General features: G+C 43.1%; 1 protein-coding gene across 2 annotated transcripts in view; it reads left to right on the top strand.

Moving 5' to 3' along the window:
• Positions 1 to 18,900, top strand: part of COLEC12 (collectin subfamily member 12) — a 183,965-nt gene that overhangs the window by 137,321 nt on the left and 27,744 nt on the right. For both annotated transcript variants that reach the window (XM_011525741.3, NM_130386.3), the window contains 3 exons: positions 5,859 to 5,981; positions 15,218 to 15,316; positions 16,040 to 17,086. In XM_011525741.3, the coding sequence (XP_011524043.1) occupies positions 5,859 to 5,981; positions 15,218 to 15,316; positions 16,040 to 17,086 (1,269 nt within the window). The remainder of the gene's footprint in view (positions 1 to 5,858; positions 5,982 to 15,217; positions 15,317 to 16,039; positions 17,087 to 18,900) is intronic.

Here is an 18,900-nt window from a genome sequence, read left to right as displayed (position 1 = left end):
CAGAAGTGTCCCACACTCACCCACAGTGCCGGCCTCCACCTACCAAGGAAGGGGATGGATCTGCAATGTATCCATTTTAACACACAAGCCCACCTTCAGTGATATACATGGCAAAAAAATATGAGAGTGAAGGAGACTCTTTTTTTTTCTGCAAAAAGATCGGAAAAACAGACTGGATTGAGACTGGACCACAGCACTTGGGAGGGCTCTTTATGGAGAACCACAGCAGAAAGGAATTCTCTTTGCTGGTGAATTCTTCTGGCCCTTTGCACTGTCATTCCTGGAGCGTTTCAATTATTCCCCCAACCAGCAAACGGCTCACTGATCAGCAGCCCCCATTCCCCCCCTGCCAGCTTCTTACTTGAAATGTGTTGTTGGAACCAGGGCAGCCCAGGGGACTTTGAGTTTGGGCACTGGGGACCAAATTGTCAGCCTATTCTGAACTTCCATGGAATACTCAAGGAGTTAACCAGAGCGATTTTGGCTTCACTGGGCCCCCACACTTTTTTGTATAACAAAGACTCGGACACTGGAAAATACATTCAAAACATGAGCCAAGAGTGGAGTTCAGCGGGAGATAGTTCAAGAGGGAAAAGCAGCGGAAAGGCATGCACCCTTCAGGTCCTTGCTGCCTGTAGGCCTCTGAATTTCAAATGTGCTATTGGCGCCAGGTTCTTTGGCACGCTGGATCTCTTAATGGTGAGGGGCAGCACTGCTTCACTTCCTGAACTGAAATCTCTCCTCTGCAGCACTCTGTATATCAGTCCCCAGCCCTTCCTTCCCTGCCCACCCCCACCCCGCCATGGGAACAAAGTCCCCAGGCTCTGGAAAGTAATGCTAAGAAAACAAACACTACAAAGGCTGGTAACAGGGGGATATCTCTCTTGAATGTTATTTTGTAACCATCTAGGTTCAAGGAGGAGGGGGTGCCCCAGCTACAGGAGCCAGCAGGGTCCCTTTGTAGTAGGCATCCGTGTGTTTGGCCAGATGTCCTCCCAGCGGAGGGCAGAGAGGAAGATAAAACAGAATTCTTATTAAAAAGAAGTCAGGGGAGGGGGAAAACAAGACAGAGAAAGCGTGTCAAGTGGAAAGGGAGGCCAGGCAGTGCCATCTGATATTGATTAAATGCTGATAGAGTCAGCAGTGAGAAATGCACACGGTGAGGAAGTGCCCCAGCTCTTTGGAATGTGAACCAGTGACAGCTGTCCGGGCTTGGATCTGCACGAATACCACATGCACCAGATGCCTGGCGGCCACAGGGCTAGCTCACGGGGAAGGATGGGAGGGAAAGATGAGTGTGCTGGAGTCAGGACCTGTGGCTTCTGATCCTGCTTCCCCTCTCTGGGCCTCTCTTTTCCCATCAATGACACAATGACGCTTGACCTCTGCACAACCTTCTAGCTCCCAGATTGTGTCATCTACTATAATCTCTGCTCTAACCAAATCTTCTGAGGCTCTCTTAGTGGAATGTAAGAAATCATCCTGAAGAGGCATAAGAAGCTCACCCAGCATGGTCCAAAAATCCAAAAGGAATAAACCCGCCCATCAGCCATGGGAGTGCCACCCAGTCCTTCAGCGGGAGGTCAGGCCAGCACCCCGTGTCTGTCGCCCTTCTGTGCTTCACAGTTGCCACCAAAGCAAGTTCATGGTTTCTCAGCATGGAATGTGGCGTGTCTGTGGGTCTACCTATATGTTCCTTTCTCTAAATTTCAAAAATATTTTCACCCTTATTGGATGTAAAGAGTCTTTTTTCATTTTATACCATCAGATTACAGAGAGCTTATGCGCTGGTCCGTGTGTGTGGTGGGCTGGGGAGAGTGTGGGTGTGTGTGTTCATGCGCGCATCCTTTAGTTAAGAGTGCCTTCTTGAAAGCTTGTTGTTTTGTTTTTTTCCTTTTTAGCAAATGTCATGAGGACAGTGGTATTTTAATAAAGGGTGAGGCTAGATTCCAGTGGGAATGGAAGAGGAAGCTTCCACTGAGATGAAAAGATCTCACACTAGGGTGGTGGCAGGGGAAATGGAGAGGAAACGATGACTAGAGAGAGGGACCATGGCCTAGTGGAGAGATCGTGGCATCTAGAGTCTGACACAGGTTGGAGTCCTGACTGCAACATTGTATAGAGTGTCAGTTCAGCTCTCACCAAGATGCCCCCTTGCAGTCCTTTTATGGATTAGAGATGCTGTGTGTAAGGGATCTAGCTCAGAACCTGGCACACTGTAGGCAGTAAGTGAACATCAATAAGCTGTAGATGATGATGATCATGATGAAAAATAGCCCACAAGGCCTGTGACTGAATTGGAGAATAAGTACAAGAGAAGAAATGATGGTGTCTTTGAGTTTAACCACCTGAGGGATTGGGATAGAAATAGTAGTTGAGTTGAGTACAATAAGAAAAGTTGGGTGGAAGTTGGAGATCTGGTTTGGCAGGGCTAGAACTGAAGTCAGTTTTAGACATAAGAGACGGTGCTGAGACATACAGGTGGCTATAAGGAAGTAAGACAGAAAGGAAGGGGAGGGGAAAAATGGAAAAATTATAATAAACAAGTTTATTTACTCTAGGTCTGTTTGATCAGTGAGTCTAATTTTACAAGCTTCACCTTCAAGGGATTGGTTAACCAAAGGTCAATCCATCATGACCAGCTTCTAAACTAAATCCTTGCTCCTCGAAGTGTGGTCCTCAGACCAGTTGCCACCTAGGCCTTGCAGAAATGTAGAATCTTAGCTCCTCCCTCAGACCCACTGAATCGGAACCTGCATTTCAACAATGTGATGTGTAAGCACTTTAAAGTTTGAGAAGCATTGTTCCTGAGTGTGGTCCACAGACCGCAGCATCAGCATCAGCATCAGCATCAGCATCACCTGGGAACTTCTTAGAAATCCAAATTCTTGGCCAGGCGTGGTGGCTCACACCTATACTCCCAGCACTTTGGGAGGCTGAGGCGGCGAGGTGGGTGGATCACTTGAGGTCAGGAGTTTGTGACCAGCCTGGCCAACATGGTGAAACCCCGTTTCTACTAAAAATACAAAAAGTAGCCGTGTGTGGTCGTGGGCACCTGTAATCCCAGCTACTCGGGAGGCTGAGGCAGGAGAATCACTTGAACCCGGGAGGCAGAGGTTGCAGTGAGCCGAGATCGTGCCACTGCACTCCAGCCTGGGCAACAGAGCAAAACTCCATCTCAAAAAAGAAAAAAAAAAAAAAAGAAATCCAAATTCTCAGGTCCCTTCTCAGACCTCCTGAATTAGAAACAGTGTGTTTTAATGACTGCTTCAAGTGACTCTCATGCACCCCAAAGTTTGAGAAGCACTGCTCTAAGTCATGAAATTGACAGATGCACCTCCTCCCTTTGTGTCTACAGCCAGAGGGATGTGCTGAACACCAGAGGGATTGGTTGAGCCCTGAAAGCTAAATTTAAGTCATTGTTATATGCTGTTTCTCTCATCATTTTGCATTAAACACAGCTGAAGAACTCTTTTCACTGAAGAAGGGCACTATGCGTAAAATTACAAACCAAAGGAGAGAAACTTCAACTGTGGCTTAATCCTCATGACTTACCCATCAAAAGTTATTGAGCACAGTTATAGATCAGTCCTTTATGTGCTGTTGCTCCTGGGGGACGCTATTAGTAAGACACACATAGGGAAACAGGTCAGGAAAACAGGGAATCTCCTGATATTCCTTACAATGTGATTTTCACATTAAAACATCCACAGTCTTTGTCTTGTGTGTGTTTCTAATCTATCAGATGGAAATTCTCTTTTTAAAGGTTTCTGGAGTCACTTGCAGCATTGATGCTGGTTGACCACTCAGACAAGAATGTTTTTCAAAAACGACCTTTTAGCAGTAAAAATTTACCTCCTCTCATCAAAAGTGTCTGGTTTTTCTATTTGTTCTACAGTCATTATTCAAATCGCTGTGATAACTAATATAAGGGTCACTGTCTGTTTCTTGTATACATGTAATATGCAAAATTTGTTATATATTGGGCAGTTAATTATAAGATTACTTGTATTTTCTGCCATAGGTTATAATACATTACAACCAGTGGCATGCCGGTAAACTAGTTGTTTGCGGCCAGGGAATGGGGGCCATCCTAATTCGCGGTGTTTGCCAATTTCTATGGTGTAAATACTCCCTGCAGGGCTGATTTCAAGCTACCAACAGTTTCACAACCAGCTCTCAAAGTTCTTACAAATTTAACAGTTGGCTCTTACAAGCCAGTAGGAACCAACTTCAGCATGCCACTGAAACAAACATCAAGGGACCAATCAATAGGATTTTTTTGTTGTATTTGAATTGCTGTAGGCCTAACAGTGTCTGAAATAAGTAAATTTGAATGTTTAAATATTTTGTCATACAGAGATTTTTATTGAAATTATCATCGTAATTATCATAATGGAATTTGATTTGAAACTACAGTCATGTGCCACGTAACGTTTCAGTCAACAATGGACTGCATAGATGATGGCAGTCCCATAAGATTATAAAACTGTATTTTTATTGTACCTTTTCTATGTTTAGATACACAAATACTTACCATTGTGTTAAAGTTGCCAGAAATAAAGTTGCCTGTCAGTACAGTAACATGCTGTACAGGTTTGAGCCTAGGAGCAACAGGCCATACCATGTAGCCTAGGTGTGTAGTAGTCTATACCAGAGGTCCCCAACCCCCAGGGCCATGGACCAGTTACCTGTTAGGAACTGGACTGCATAGCAGGAGGTGAGCAGTGGGCGAGTGAGTGAAGCATCATCTGTATTTACATCCATTTCCCATCACTTGCATGACCACCTGAGCTCCGCCTCCTGTCAGATCAGTGGCAGCATTAGATTCTCAAAGAAGCGCGAATCCTGTTGTGAACTGTGCATGTGAGGGATCTAGGTTGTGCGCTCCTTATAAGAATCTAATGCCTGTGATCTGTCACTGTCTCCCATCGCACCCATACGGGACCATCTATTTCCAGGAAAACAAGCTCAGGGCTCCCACTGTTTCTACATTATGGTGAGTTGTATAATTATTTCATTATATATTACAATGTAATAATAATAGAGATAAAGTACACAATAAATGGAATGCATTTGAATCATCCCGAAACCATCCCTACCCCTACTCTGGTCCATGGAAAAATTGGGGAAGAAGATGGGGACCGCTGGTCTATACCATCTAGGACTGTGTAAGTACACTCTAGGACAGTGGTCCCCTACCTTTTTGGAACCAGGGACCAGTTTCATGGAAGATAATTTTTCCATGGATGGACAGGGGGCGGGAGATGGTTTCAGGATGAAACTGCTCCACCTGAGATCATCAGGCATTAGTCAGATTCTCATAAGGAGCATGCAACCTAGATCCCTCGCATGTGCAGTTCACAATAGGGTTCACGCTCCTAAGAGAATCTAATGCTGCCACTGATCTGACAGGAGACAGAGCTCAGGTGGTCATGCTGGCTCACCTGCCACTCAACTCCTGCTGTGCAGCCGGTTCCTAACAGGCCACCAGACTGGTACCAGTCCATGGCCCGGGAATTAGGGATCCCTGCTCCAGGATGTTCACACAGTGATGAAATTGCCTAATGATGCCATTCTCAGAATGTATCCCCATTAACTGATGCATGACTGTATTCTATGAAACAAAGTTATGTGCTATTTTTAAGTCATATTAAATACAGCTATAACAATAGAATGGTAATATTGAAGTGCTTATGTTGCTCAAGCAGTGTGTTTACTGTCAAAATAGTTCTCATAGTATAGTAAGGCATTTGTAAAAATTATTCTTAGTCCCAATATTTGAACCTAAATGCAAAAAGATAAATTTTAAAATGACATCTTTGCTTACTGTTATTAAAATTTGACTTCTCTTACAGGTATTCAGGAAGGAACACAATGTACCAAATGTAAAAATAACTGGGCACTGAAGTTTTCTATCATATTATTATACATTTTGTGTGCCTTGCTAACAATCACAGTAGCCATTTTGGGATATAAAGGTAAGCATGCTTTCTTTTTTTTCTTCCAAATAACAAGTGTTCCTTCATTAATTTAAGCATGAGAAAACTCATATTTGCAAATACGAAGTATTTCATTCATACAACTCAGATGCAAAATAACAACATGATAAACTTCATCTCTGTATCTTAAACTTACAGCTATGAGATCTGAAAGGGGGGACATAGTAATTCCTTTTGACTCATTTCAGCAATAATCAGCGTCCTCTCTGAGAGTTATAAAGTTTTTTTTCCCTTGTTGCTTTTTTCTACCTATTTCTAGCTACTCCTTCTTCCTCTATTTTTTTTTCTTTCGTCCTATCTCTTGGAGGCTTTATGGAAACCCTGGAGTCAGCACACAGGAAAACTATATTGACAGAGAATAAGCAAAACACAAGATCTCCAGAGATACAACATACTTCACCCAGGGATCGGCCAACTAATTCCCTTTTTTCTCTGCAGCACATTCACTGTGGTCACTGTTGTTTATATAGCTCTATAAAAATACTGCCCTGTAGAAATTAAGCACAGAGGCAGCACTACCACCTCACCCTACTTTATAGGATGTTGGGCCTAAACATATCTGGTTTAGGGTAAGGGCAGGATTTTTGCCTGAATCCTCCAGACTTGCAGACACAGTAAGTTCCCCATGCACCTTTCAGAGACCATAGGTAGAAGGTGTCGTGATTCAGAATCACAAAACTACATAAGCCCTTTTCTAGAAAACAGCCAGGGAAACCTTCTTTAAAAGACACGTGAGGCAAACACGGCCATTTGGTTTCAGAACAGAGGCAGACGTGGAGTCTGTGGATCATCAGGTCTTCCCTCTGCTGTGTGGCCCACAGACTGACCCAGGAAAAGAAAGACTCCAAGTGAATTCCCTCCAACTGGTCATTCCTCCCACCTCTCTCCCAGCATGTAGCAGTTTCCTGAGAAAGCACAGTGTGTATTGGAATGAGATGGGTGTCAGGGCCAGACAGTCCAAGTTCAAGCCTTGATCCTACCATTTTTAATACAATTGTGAATGTTCAGTAAGTGCTTGCTACTGTGCCAGGGGTCATGCTATGTCTTCTGCATGGCTCCATACCCAGGTGTGAATCATAGCCTCTTAGAGCTTCTGATTTCTTATCTGCAAAATGGCAGTAATAATGCTACTTGTCAAGGTGTTTGGGATGAGCAAAGATGATGTAATTGAAGAATCTCTCCTATAGCTGGTCCCAGGAAATCATATCTGTATCTCTCTGTTCCTTGCTTCTTCCTAGCCACATTACACAGCACTAGCAGTTAGAATGGCAAAACCTGTCAAACATCCTCAGTACAGTCGGGACTTTTAGTCCCATCTCTAAGGCCATATACGTGGAAAATAATGTGCATCATTGAGTGTGTTGGCTGATTAGTTTGGACAATGGAAATCTGGAAAACTACCAGGTCGTTCTATCCATTTGTGATGAGTTAGACTGTGATCTAACCCAGAGCATCTTAAGTTTTTAGATGAAGCAGCAAACAGAGTAAGTGATTAAGGAAGGCTATTAAATCATGATTAGCGCTGGGCAGAGGTGGGGTGGGAAGCTGATGAGAGAAAGGAGGGTTTTCCATGTCCCAGGTAATCCGGACTATCTCTCTTCCTTTTGTTTAGATTATTTAGGTCATTACTCACTTCTCCATGACTTTTCCTAGTGAGCCAAGATAAAGGAGAAGCTTGAAATCAGCCATTTAATAAGTACTTTTAAGCCTCAGTACTGTGTAATCACATTTACTGCTAAAAGAGAGATGAGAGTGGTTTGGCAAATATATAACATGTTGTAATTTTTACCTGTGCTAGGAAATAAAGTCTGGGACATTTATGCATTCAGAATTATACAAAAAGAGTCAAAGAAGAGGCTTTTTTTCTCCTTTCTTTTTTTTCTGTTTGTTTGTTAAGGTACAGATATTTCCTCCCTTTTTATCCATGGAAAGCCCTTCCTGGCTCTGGCGTGTTGTGCGTGTGCTGGTCCATTTGCCCACAGCACCTTTTCTCTGCTCTCCAGCTAAAGTGCCTCCCTCCCACCCTTCATGTCTCATGTAGACACATGGCAGCTCCCGAAAGCTGAATTAGGCCCCTTCCTGTTTGTTCCCATAGCACCCAGCATTTACTCTTAGCCCCTGTCACACTGTGTCATTAGAGTCAGTGGACTTGTCTGTGTCACCACCCAAACTACGAGTTTCCATGAAGACAAGAGACTACCTTTTATTTATTATATCTCCCACCAGCACCTAGTCTCATGATATTTAACCATTGCCCAGGAAAGTTCACTGAATGAATTAATGGGAGGATGGATGGATGGATGGATGGATGGATGGATGGATGGATGGATGCATGGATGGATTGATGGATTGTGCATTAGGGCTGCCTTCCAGGAAGGCAAACAGCAGATGCTCAGGGACCTCTAAGCCAATCTGCATCTAGGGGATAGCTGCCCCTAAAAGCCCTGCCTGGAAACCTAATGTTTTGGAGATTGGCTTGGCCTGCTCTGTGGGGGCAGTCTCACCAAGATGAAGGAAGAAGAGATAATGGGGAGCAAGTACAAGGGGAAACGAGATGATGTCTTGCCCCTCTTTTCTTTCCTTCAGTGCCCCCCTCCTTCAGGCCTCCACTGACCAAAAAAAAGATAATACAACATGCACTTTTGCTTTCCAAACACACCATTAATGAACTAAAATGTTGATATTTTCCAGATGTGCTTTCTCTTTACTCACACAGTGACTCCTCTTTCTTGCTGGTAAGATTCTAGTGACCCAATGTTGTAAGAGGCAGAAAGATAAAACCCAGTTCTCCCTTCACACATTCCCCCTTTGAAGTCTAGAGAAACTCTCTCCGTTACAAAAGAAAGAAAGAAAAGAATATTCAATGAAAGAAACACAATAAGGCATTCCTCTGAAGGAGAAATCGAAAGGAAAGGAGTAAAAACTTTTATTTATCAGAGCTGGCAAAGGCAACTTCATACTGTTTTGCTCAAAATTGTTCTTTTCTTCTTTCATGTCACTTACATAGCCACAAGTTAGAATACAATGAGCTTCCATCAAGAGAATTTGCTGAAGAAGCCAGAGAATCGCTCAGTCACCCAGACAGGGTCTGTGCAGTGGTCGTGACTGTGAGGCGTATCAGCCACTTTGCAGAAAACATGTTCTTGGACAGTTGAGCTTGGTACATCCTCTGCCCCGGGCTTTTTATCATTAGTCAACAGAGCTTCCATAGCAGGAGTCATCTCTTAAGTTCAATGTGTCATGTTTCTTCCAGAATATTTCCTGAACAGGAAAATCCTACTCCATTATCCTTTCCAACAGGCAACCTTCTAAAGGTAATTAGGAAAAAGAAAAAAGACAGAAATCTGAATCTTTCTCAATAAGGATCTCCTTTAATTCAACATTCCTAGTCACTGGTAGTCTACTTTGCTGCTAAGCTGGGTCAGTGTAGCAGTTTACAACTGGATTACTATTTAGGCTTTCAAAATACACATCAAATCACACTGGAGAGCGCTTTAGGATCCAGGATAACACCCTACAATCAGATTTTCTGTATTTCTGTAAGGAAACCTAAAATGGTGTTCAAGGTAGAAATGCCTTTATTAAATTCCAGAGGAGTGTAACTAATGTTACTGGGAAGCCCCAGGTCCCAGAGAGAGGAAGTATTTATCCCACAGTGCCATGATCAGTCTGGTACAAAAACGTGTGAGCACCAGCTAGGAGCTCTGTGCTCTGTCCTCAGGGCCGAGACCATGGCCTGTGTCTCTTGAATCCTCAATGTCTAGCACTATGCCACCTACATGGCAGATACTTGGTAAATGTCTGGTGATGTTAACTTTAAAGAGAATATAAACAGAAATAATTCTTCCCCTTAAGGGATTCTTTATTGGAGGAAACCAGATTTAGGAAAAAGAAATACCAAAAGAGAGGTGATACGGAGTCATAGAAAGAGCATGGATTTTGGAGTTAAACCTTCCAGCCTGGTATCCCACATAGTCACTGACAAGCTGTGTGACTTTTTAGCAAGTTACTGAACATCTGTGAGCCTCAATCTCTTCATCTACAAAACAGCAGTTGGAAGGATTAACTGCAGTGATGGTGTAGTGCATCCGGCAAAGAGCAGGCACTCGATAAATAGAGGCTATTATTATTATCATTCAAATAAAGATCGAGTTGGTGTGCAGTGGAATCAACTTGTAGGTGTGGCTGAGTACAATGGGGTAGTGAGGTGTGGAGCGGACCTTCAAGGAGAAGTGGAGTCAAGACGAGGGAAGAAGAAGTTAGTGGCCCAGGCCAAGGGATGATACCGAAGTGCTTTTATAAAAAAGGTTTTATTGTCAGAGTATCCTAGAGAATTATACTTTGGATACTTGAAGAGGGACAGATCTTCAGGTATAATACCTGAAACACCAATATTCTGTAGAAAAATTCTACCTTAAGAAACAATTCCCAATACAGGAGAGCCTATGAGAAACCAGACTGCTGGTCACCCTTCTGTGTATCCTGCTCATTTTTCTCATGTGAGAATGGTCTGCAAACTGAGGTCTATGTCTATAGACTGGGAATTTCCAGGGTAATACAGGATGGCTCTGCGACTGTATTCCTGATTGAGAATTGGTGCTAATAAATTCAGAATAAAAGTCAATGAAAGTGCTGTGTGCTGTTACAGCAAGGGTAAGTTCTGGATCTCCACCAGTCTGGTATTTTTATGCAGTAGCAGGTTCCAGCATTGCAATCCTAACATTTCCAGCTTTATACCAGATCCTATTGTTAAACAAAGACACACACCCCCCAGTGCATGTAAACTGTTCATTAGCACTTGTGGGCAGGGAAAATAGTTTCCTTTTGCTGCACAGAAGAAAACGTCGACAGATTTTTTTTGTTCTTTTTTTTAATGAATGTATTTATCCCTTTTGTATTTATTCTACACAAACCTGAGTTATCTGTCCATGACAGTTCTCTGTTTTTCAAAACTAAAATGGAAGAAAAAGTAGAAAGGGTAGAAAATGACTGACTGTCAGCATATTTGAAGGTTTCTTTGGCTTCCAGGAAAGAAGGGCAGGACTTGAGATCCTGCATGTGGTTTGAGGACAGACCGAGGCATATGTTTTGATTTGAGGATCAAAACTGAACCTAAACCTGTAAACATTCTGTATTTTAGTTCTTAAAAATTAGCTTTGCTAAAAACACATATGCAACATTTTATTCTTGAGAGTTTCCAGGGATTTAGGAGTATGTGTACCTATGAAGCAACCCTAAGGTACAGATTATTAGAACTGCATCTCTCTGTCTATGTAGTAATTTTAAAAATAATAATTACTCAGCGAAATGTCATACTCACTGCCAATGCTCAGGCTTCCCTGGGTTGGTTGGGAAACACGTGTTTGCTTGCCCTGTAGCTCAGCCGGCAGATTGCTACTTATTTAAATAAATCCCTCATTCCTGTAATCCTAGCACTTTGGGAGGCCAAGGTGGGCAGATCATCTGAGGTCAGGAGTTCGAGACCAGCCTGGCCAACATAGAGAAACCCCATCTCTACTAAAAATACAAAAATTGACGAGTTAATGGGTGCAGCACACGAACATGGCACATGTATACGTATGTAACAAACCTGCACGTTGTGCACATGTACCCTAAAACTTAAAGTATAATAAAAATACAAAAATTAGCCGGGCGTGGTAACAGGCTCCTGTAATCCCAGCTACTCGGGAGGCTGAAGCAGGAGAATCACTTGAACCTGGGAGGCGGAGGTTGCAGTCAGCTAAGATCATTCCATTGTACTCCAACCTGGGCAACAAGAGTGAAACTCCGTCTAATAAAAAATTAAATAAATAAATGACATAATAAATATATATTCATTGACTACCTACAAAGTGCCACACACTGAGCTAAGAGGAAGAGATGGAATTGAATGTAAATTTTCCTGCCCTAAAGGATATAATAGTAGATAAGTCATGACAGCACAGTGCAGTGAGTCCCATAATAGAGAAAGGACTACTTGCCAGGGGAATTCTGCAAGGTGCACCTCGGCAAAGGGTTCCCACAGGAAGTGACAAGCAGAGTCTTGAAGAGCAAATAGGACTTAGCTCAGTAAAAAAAAAAAACAGGGAAGAACATTCTAGGTAGAGAGAACACATGGAAAGGCTCGTGTGAGAGAGTGTTTGTCGCAGTGCACACATTTCATTATGACCAGACGGTAGAAGCTTGAGGGAAAACAGTGAGCTTCTCCAGGGACAATTCCAGGATCCAAGGAGCCAGTTCACTTTGGGTCACACAAACACATGGGAACTTACTACTTCTTCCTGAGAGGAGCCAGGAGAATCTCACACAGTCATGCGTGGGTAGAACATGTGATGAATACAATAAATTAGATCCGTTGGCTCATAATTGATATATAAAGCATGTTCTCATTTTTTGAAGTCTTTTTTTTTTTTTTTTTTGAGACAGAGTCTCGCTCTGTTGCCCAGGCTGGAGTGCAATGGCGTGATCTCGGCTCACTGCAACCTCCACTTCCCAGGTTCAAGCAATTCTCCTGGTTCCACCTCCCAGGTTCAAGCAATTCTCCTGCCTCAGCCTCCTAAGTAGCTGAGGTTACAGGCGTGTACCACCACAACCGGCTAATTTTTGTATTTTTAGTAGAGATGGGGTTTCACCATGTTGGCCAGGCTGGTCTTGAACTCCTGAGCTCAAATGATCCACCCACCCCAGCCTCCCAAAGTGTTGGAATTACGGGCGTGAGCCACCATGCCCGGTCTGAAGTCTTTTTTTTTAAGCTATTGATACTAAGAAGGACAGTCAGACTTGATCCCAAGCTGCTAGAAGCTGTATCTCACATAAATCACTTTTGGAGAAACATCCTCTTATTTAACATTTTAGAAACGTGTACTTGAATTCATAACTGTAGAGAATTACTGCCTTCTGAAAATGAATAAGAACTGAAGCTTTTATTTAGTGTGGCTGTATTAGTCCGTTCCCATGCTGCTGATAAAGACATACCCGAGACTGGGAAGAACAAGAGGTTTAACTGGAATTACAGTTCCACATGGCTGGGGAGGCCTCAGAATCATGGTGGGAGGCAAAAGGCACTTCTTACACGGCAGCAGCAAGAGAAAGTGAGAAAGATGAAAAAGTGGAAACCCATCAGATCTCGTGAGACTTATTCACTACCATGAGAACAGTATGGGGGAAACCGCCCCCATGATTCAAATTATCTCCCACTGGGTCCTTCCCACAACACATGTAAATTCTGGGAGATATAATTCAAGATGAGATTTGGGCGAGAATACAGCCAAACTGTATCATTCCACCCCTGGCCCCTGCCAAATCTCATGTCCTCACGTTTCAAAACAAATCATGCCTTCCCAACAGTCCCACAAAGTTTTAACTCATTTCAGCATTAACCCTAAAGTCTGCAGTCCAAAGTCCCATCTGAGACAAGGCAAGTCCCTTCCGCCTATGAGCCTGTAAAATCAAAAGCAAGCTAGTTACTTCCTAGATACAATGAGGGTTACAGGTATTGGGTAAATATAGCCTTTCCAAATGGGAGAAATTGGCCAAAACAGAGGGGTTACAGGCCCCATGCAAGTTCAAAGTCAGCAGGGCAGTCAAATTTTAAAGCTCCACAATTATCTCCTTTGACTCCAGGTCGCACATCCCGGTCATGCTGACGCAAGAGGTGGGTTCCCATGGTCTTGGGCAGCTCCACCCCTGTGGCTTTGCAGGGTACAGCCTCTCTCCCTGCTGCTTTCATGGCTGGTGTTGAGCATCTGTGGCTTTTCCAGGTGAACGGTGCAAACTGTCAGTGGATCTACCCTTCTGGGGTCTGGAGGACGGTGGCCCTCTTCTCACAGCTCCACTAGGCAGTGCCCCAGTAGGGACTCTGTGTGGGGGCTCCGACACCACATTTCCCTTCCACACTGCCCTAGCAGAGGTTCTTCATGCACATCCCACCCGTGCAGCAAACCTCTCCCTGGGTATCCAAGAGTTCCCATACATCCTCTGAAATCCAGGCGGAGGTTCCCAAACCTCAATTATTGATTTCTGTGCACTCACAGGCTCAACAACACATGAAAGCTGCCAAGGCTTGAGACTTGCACCCTCTGAAGCCACGGCCCCAGCTCCACATTGGCCCCTTTCAGCCATGGCTGGAGTGGCTGGGAAGCAGGGCACCAAGTCCCTAGGCTGCACACAGCATGGGGACCCTGGGCCTGGCCCACGAAACCATTTTCTCCTGGGCCTCCAGGCCAGTGATGGAAAGGGCTGCCAGGAAGGCTCTGACATGCCCTGAAGACATTTTCCCCATTGTCTTGGGGGTTAACATTTGGGACGGCAAGAGAAAATTAGAAAGATGCAAAAGTGGAAACCCCTGATAAGACCATCAGATCTTGTGAGACTTATTCACTACCACCAGAACAGTATAGGGGAAACCACCCCCATTATTCAAATTATCTCCCACCAAGTCCCTCCCACAACACATGGGAATTAGGGGAGTATAATTCAAGGTGAGATTTGGGTGGGGACACAGCCAAACCCTATCAGTGGCATTACTTTCCCTATCATATGCAATCAAGAAAATACTACCAAAAAATACTTCTTGGCAAATCATTGTTTGGAAACACCACTCAGGCATCTACTTGAGAACTGACAAACTACAGAATCAGTTGTCACTAACAAAAAGCAGATTTTCAGGGCCTTGTGGTGGAACTCATAACAGAAAGTGGCAGACACTCTTGACTTTGCAACCTTTCTATGCCGATTTTGTGTATAGAATTGAGCTGGGTTTTCCTTGCCAATGGAATCCTCTTCTAGGTAAATGAGTCCCACCTGCCAAGAATGTTAGGGAAGCTGATGAGTGACAACATTTTGTAAATTATCACAGTGTGCCTTGCCTTCATCTATGGAAATTAATATAGGAAATAGCAGATTAGGGACTTCTAAAATGCATGAAAATTTTTAAATTAGTTCCAAATGATTTCTGAAACATCCAAGGCATTACAGAATCATAAGAATAGTTAAGAACATACAATTCTCAACTAAGTAAATTGTACCCCTGGGTTTTGTGACAAGTAAGTTATTTTTCCAAAAAGATGGCTTTTCTTTCCTATATTTGATTTCAGTTACACTGTTTTCGTTCAATCTGTTTCCTTTGTTCCATAATGAAATGATCTCTTGTTTTGAAACTGAAAAATAAAATATGAGCAGATATGTATACTAATGCATCATTTTCCAAATCTTAGTTGTAGAGAAAATGGACAATGTCACAGGTGGCATGGAAACATCTCGCCAAACCTATGATGACAAGCTCACAGCAGTGGAAAGTGACCTGAAAAAATTAGGTAATCTGTGACAAGACTAAACCATGAAATCCCCTGACTCTACATAAATGACCACAGCTTCTTAGAATGATGTTGCTATAAACTCCCCATTCACCCGGAAGGACATTCAATTTTTGTGTTGCATGTTGAGTCTCCCCTCATGATTTAATTCAAATGCTTAAATTTTAAAGTTAAGGGTCAGTTTTGGAATTAAGTCCTGCCAAGAAAACTATTATGTGCCAAATAATATCTGAAGATCAATCCTGACTGAAAAAAAACACAAATACCCTTTATTAAAAACTGTCACATAAATAGGAATTTACTGAGCATTTTTGAAATACTTTAAACTACATAGAATTGTAGAAATTAAGTTATAAAGTGAAAGATCCTAGCATATTCTATTCCTTGATTTTTGCTTTCATTAAAAAAAAATTTGGGAAATTTAAAAGGTTAGTTTCTTCTTGACAGCCTGCCCACTGCCCTAAAATCTAGTAAATTCCCCCTCCCTCTTTGAGAAAAATGTTCAGCCAAGTTTGTCATTCCTAGTTCTGAGCTTCTTTTCCGATTCCCCAGGACCCAGTTTTAATAGATATGTACATTTTACTAATGCAGAGCTGTCCGCTTATACTGCCAATTTTGCATCTAAAATACAGTGCATACCGATTAAGTGTGTTCGGGATCTTTGGCCTTGCCTGAACACTTCTCCATACCACCAATATAAGTCACAGATATTTCTTATTCCAGGTGACCAAACTGGGAAGAAAGCTATCAGCACCAACTCAGAACTCTCCACCTTCAGATCAGACATTCTAGATCTCCGTCAGCAACTTCGTGAGATTACAGAAAAAACCAGCAAGAACAAGGATACGCTGGAGAAGTTACAGGCGAGCGGGGATGCTCTGGTGGACAGGCAGAGTCAATTGAAAGAAACTTTGGAGAATAACTCTTTCCTCATCACCACTGTAAACAAAACCCTCCAGGCGTATAATGGCTATGTCACGAATCTGCAGCAAGATACCAGCGTGCTCCAGGGCAATCTGCAGAACCAAATGTATTCTCATAATGTGGTCATCATGAACCTCAACAACCTGAACCTGACCCAGGTGCAGCAGAGGAACCTCATCACGAATCTGCAGCGGTCTGTGGATGACACAAGCCAGGCTATCCAGCGAATCAAGAACGACTTTCAAAATCTGCAGCAGGTTTTTCTTCAAGCCAAGAAGGACACGGATTGGCTGAAGGAGAAAGTGCAGAGCTTGCAGACGCTGGCTGCCAACAACTCTGCGTTGGCCAAAGCCAACAACGACACCCTGGAGGATATGAACAGCCAGCTCAACTCATTCACAGGTCAGATGGAGAACATCACCACTATCTCTCAAGCCAACGAGCAGAACCTGAAAGACCTGCAGGACTTACACAAAGATGCAGAGAATAGAACAGCCATCAAGTTCAACCAACTGGAGGAACGCTTCCAGCTCTTTGAGACGGATATTGTGAACATCATTAGCAATATCAGTTACACAGCCCACCACCTGCGGACGCTGACCAGCAATCTAAATGAAGTCAGGACCACTTGCACAGATACCCTTACCAAACACACAGATGATCTGACCTCCTTGAATAATACCCTGGCCAACATCCGTTTGGATTCTGTTTCTCTCAGGATGCAACAAGATTTGATGAGGTCGAGGTTAGACACTGAAGTAGCCAACTTATCAGTGATTATGGAAGAAATGAAGCTAGTAGACTCCAAGCATGGTCAGCTCATCAAGAATTTTACAATACTACAAGGTAAGTCAAAATTCTGAATTTGTATTTGTATTAGTTGTTTATTGCTGCATAACAAGTTACTCTAAAACTTGGCAATTTAAAACAATAAATATTCATCATCTCATAGTTTTTGTGGACCAGGAATTCAAGAGCAGCTTAGCTAGATGGTCCTGACTCACTGTTTTTCATGAGGTTGTGTCAAGATCTCAGCCAGAGCTGCAGTCATCTGAAGGCTTGACTGTGGCTGGAGGGTCTGCTACTTAAGTGGCCTGTTCACATAGCTCTTGGCAGGAGGCCTCAGTTCCTTGCTGTGTGAAATTGCTTGAGTGTCCTCACAATGTGGCAGCTGGCTGCTGCCAGAACAAGGAATTCAAGAGAGAGAACAAGAAGGAAGATACCATGACATACTAGCCTCAGAAGCCACACACCATCACATCCACTTCATTCTGTTTCTTAGAAATAAGTCACTAAGTCCAGCCCACACTCAATGCAAGTGGAATTAAGTTCCACATCTTGAAAAGAAGTGTAACTAAGAATCTGTGGACAGTACTTAAAGGGACTCCATTAATTATTTGTTGAGTGAAAGGTTGGTTAATTTGAATTTTCTTGGTCCTTGAGCTATTTCAATGCAATATAAATCAAGCTCCTCTGAAAGCAAGATCAAGTCTTTTGGGTCACAAAGCTACCATTAAGGGAGTTACATGTCATGAGTAGATGAATGGTTGGCCATCACAGTAACACAGAGGTCACAGTAAGGTCACAGAGGAAGGAAACGATGTGTCTTGCTTATAAAATCTGAGTTTTGGTAGGTGTGCTGGCTCATGCCTGTAATCTTAACACTTTCGGAGGCTGAGGTGGGAGGATCGCTTGAGACCAGGAGTTTGAGACCAGCCTGGGCAACATAGCAATATCCCATCTCCTAAATAAACAAATAAATGAATGAATACATACGTATAATCTGAATTTTACTGTTATCCAGATCATCCATATAAATTAAAAGTCCTTGACTCAGACTAAGTCCACAGTTGAAGAATTGTAGCATCATATATTAACAGTATTTTCCAGTCACAAACTATTTTCACAGGTTTTAAGTTGAAAGTACTGGTGGAAGATGCTGTGCTCAGCAGTCTGGGGTATACAAATGAAACCAACGGTCCTCACCCTTAGGGAGTTTAACATAAAGAGAATTTCAGGGCATCAGAAGATGGGCTGTAAGCAAACATTCAAGGGGAAGGGATTACACAAGGGCCTGAGTCACTAGGGGCCACCTTGGGGTATGTCCCCCACACTGGTCTAATAATCAAGGGTAAAGAGTGGTAGTTAATAAGCCCCTGTGAGGCTGAAGGCAGATCCGGATAGCAGATGGCAGGACTCTGTTCAATAGCTTTGTCAGTGACTAGCATGGATGACCTGCTAAAGCAATGCTTGTGTGACTTGAAACTGTATATGCCAGCCAGTGGCTGATAGACTCATAATCCACAATGATCTAGAGAGGCCAGGATAGTATCAAGATGTCAATCAAATGAAGTAGATAGGAATACATGTAAAATCCTGCTCATAAATGGATGAGACAAAACAGATAAATGTTGATGGGAAGGCATGGCTGGAAGGAAGTGTGCATGAAGCATGGGGATTTTAGTTGACTGGAAGCAGTGAAATATGTCTTCCAGGGAAGGGAATGTGTTCCTTGACTGTGGACTGTGTTAAGAAAAAGGGAAGTAACATCTGACTCTGTTCAGTATGCCAAGACCACCTCTGGAAGATAATGTTTACTTTGAGTAGCCCCTTTCAAAAGAGACATTCCCAGACCAGCATGCTCAGAAAAGCAACATCAG

This window comes from Homo sapiens, chromosome 18, assembly GCF_000001405.40.
Source record: "Homo sapiens chromosome 18, GRCh38.p14 Primary Assembly".
NCBI lineage: Eukaryota > Metazoa > Chordata > Mammalia > Primates > Hominidae > Homo > Homo sapiens.
Note: the sequence above shows the minus strand (reverse complement) of the source record. Positions and strands in the feature narration are given on the sequence as shown.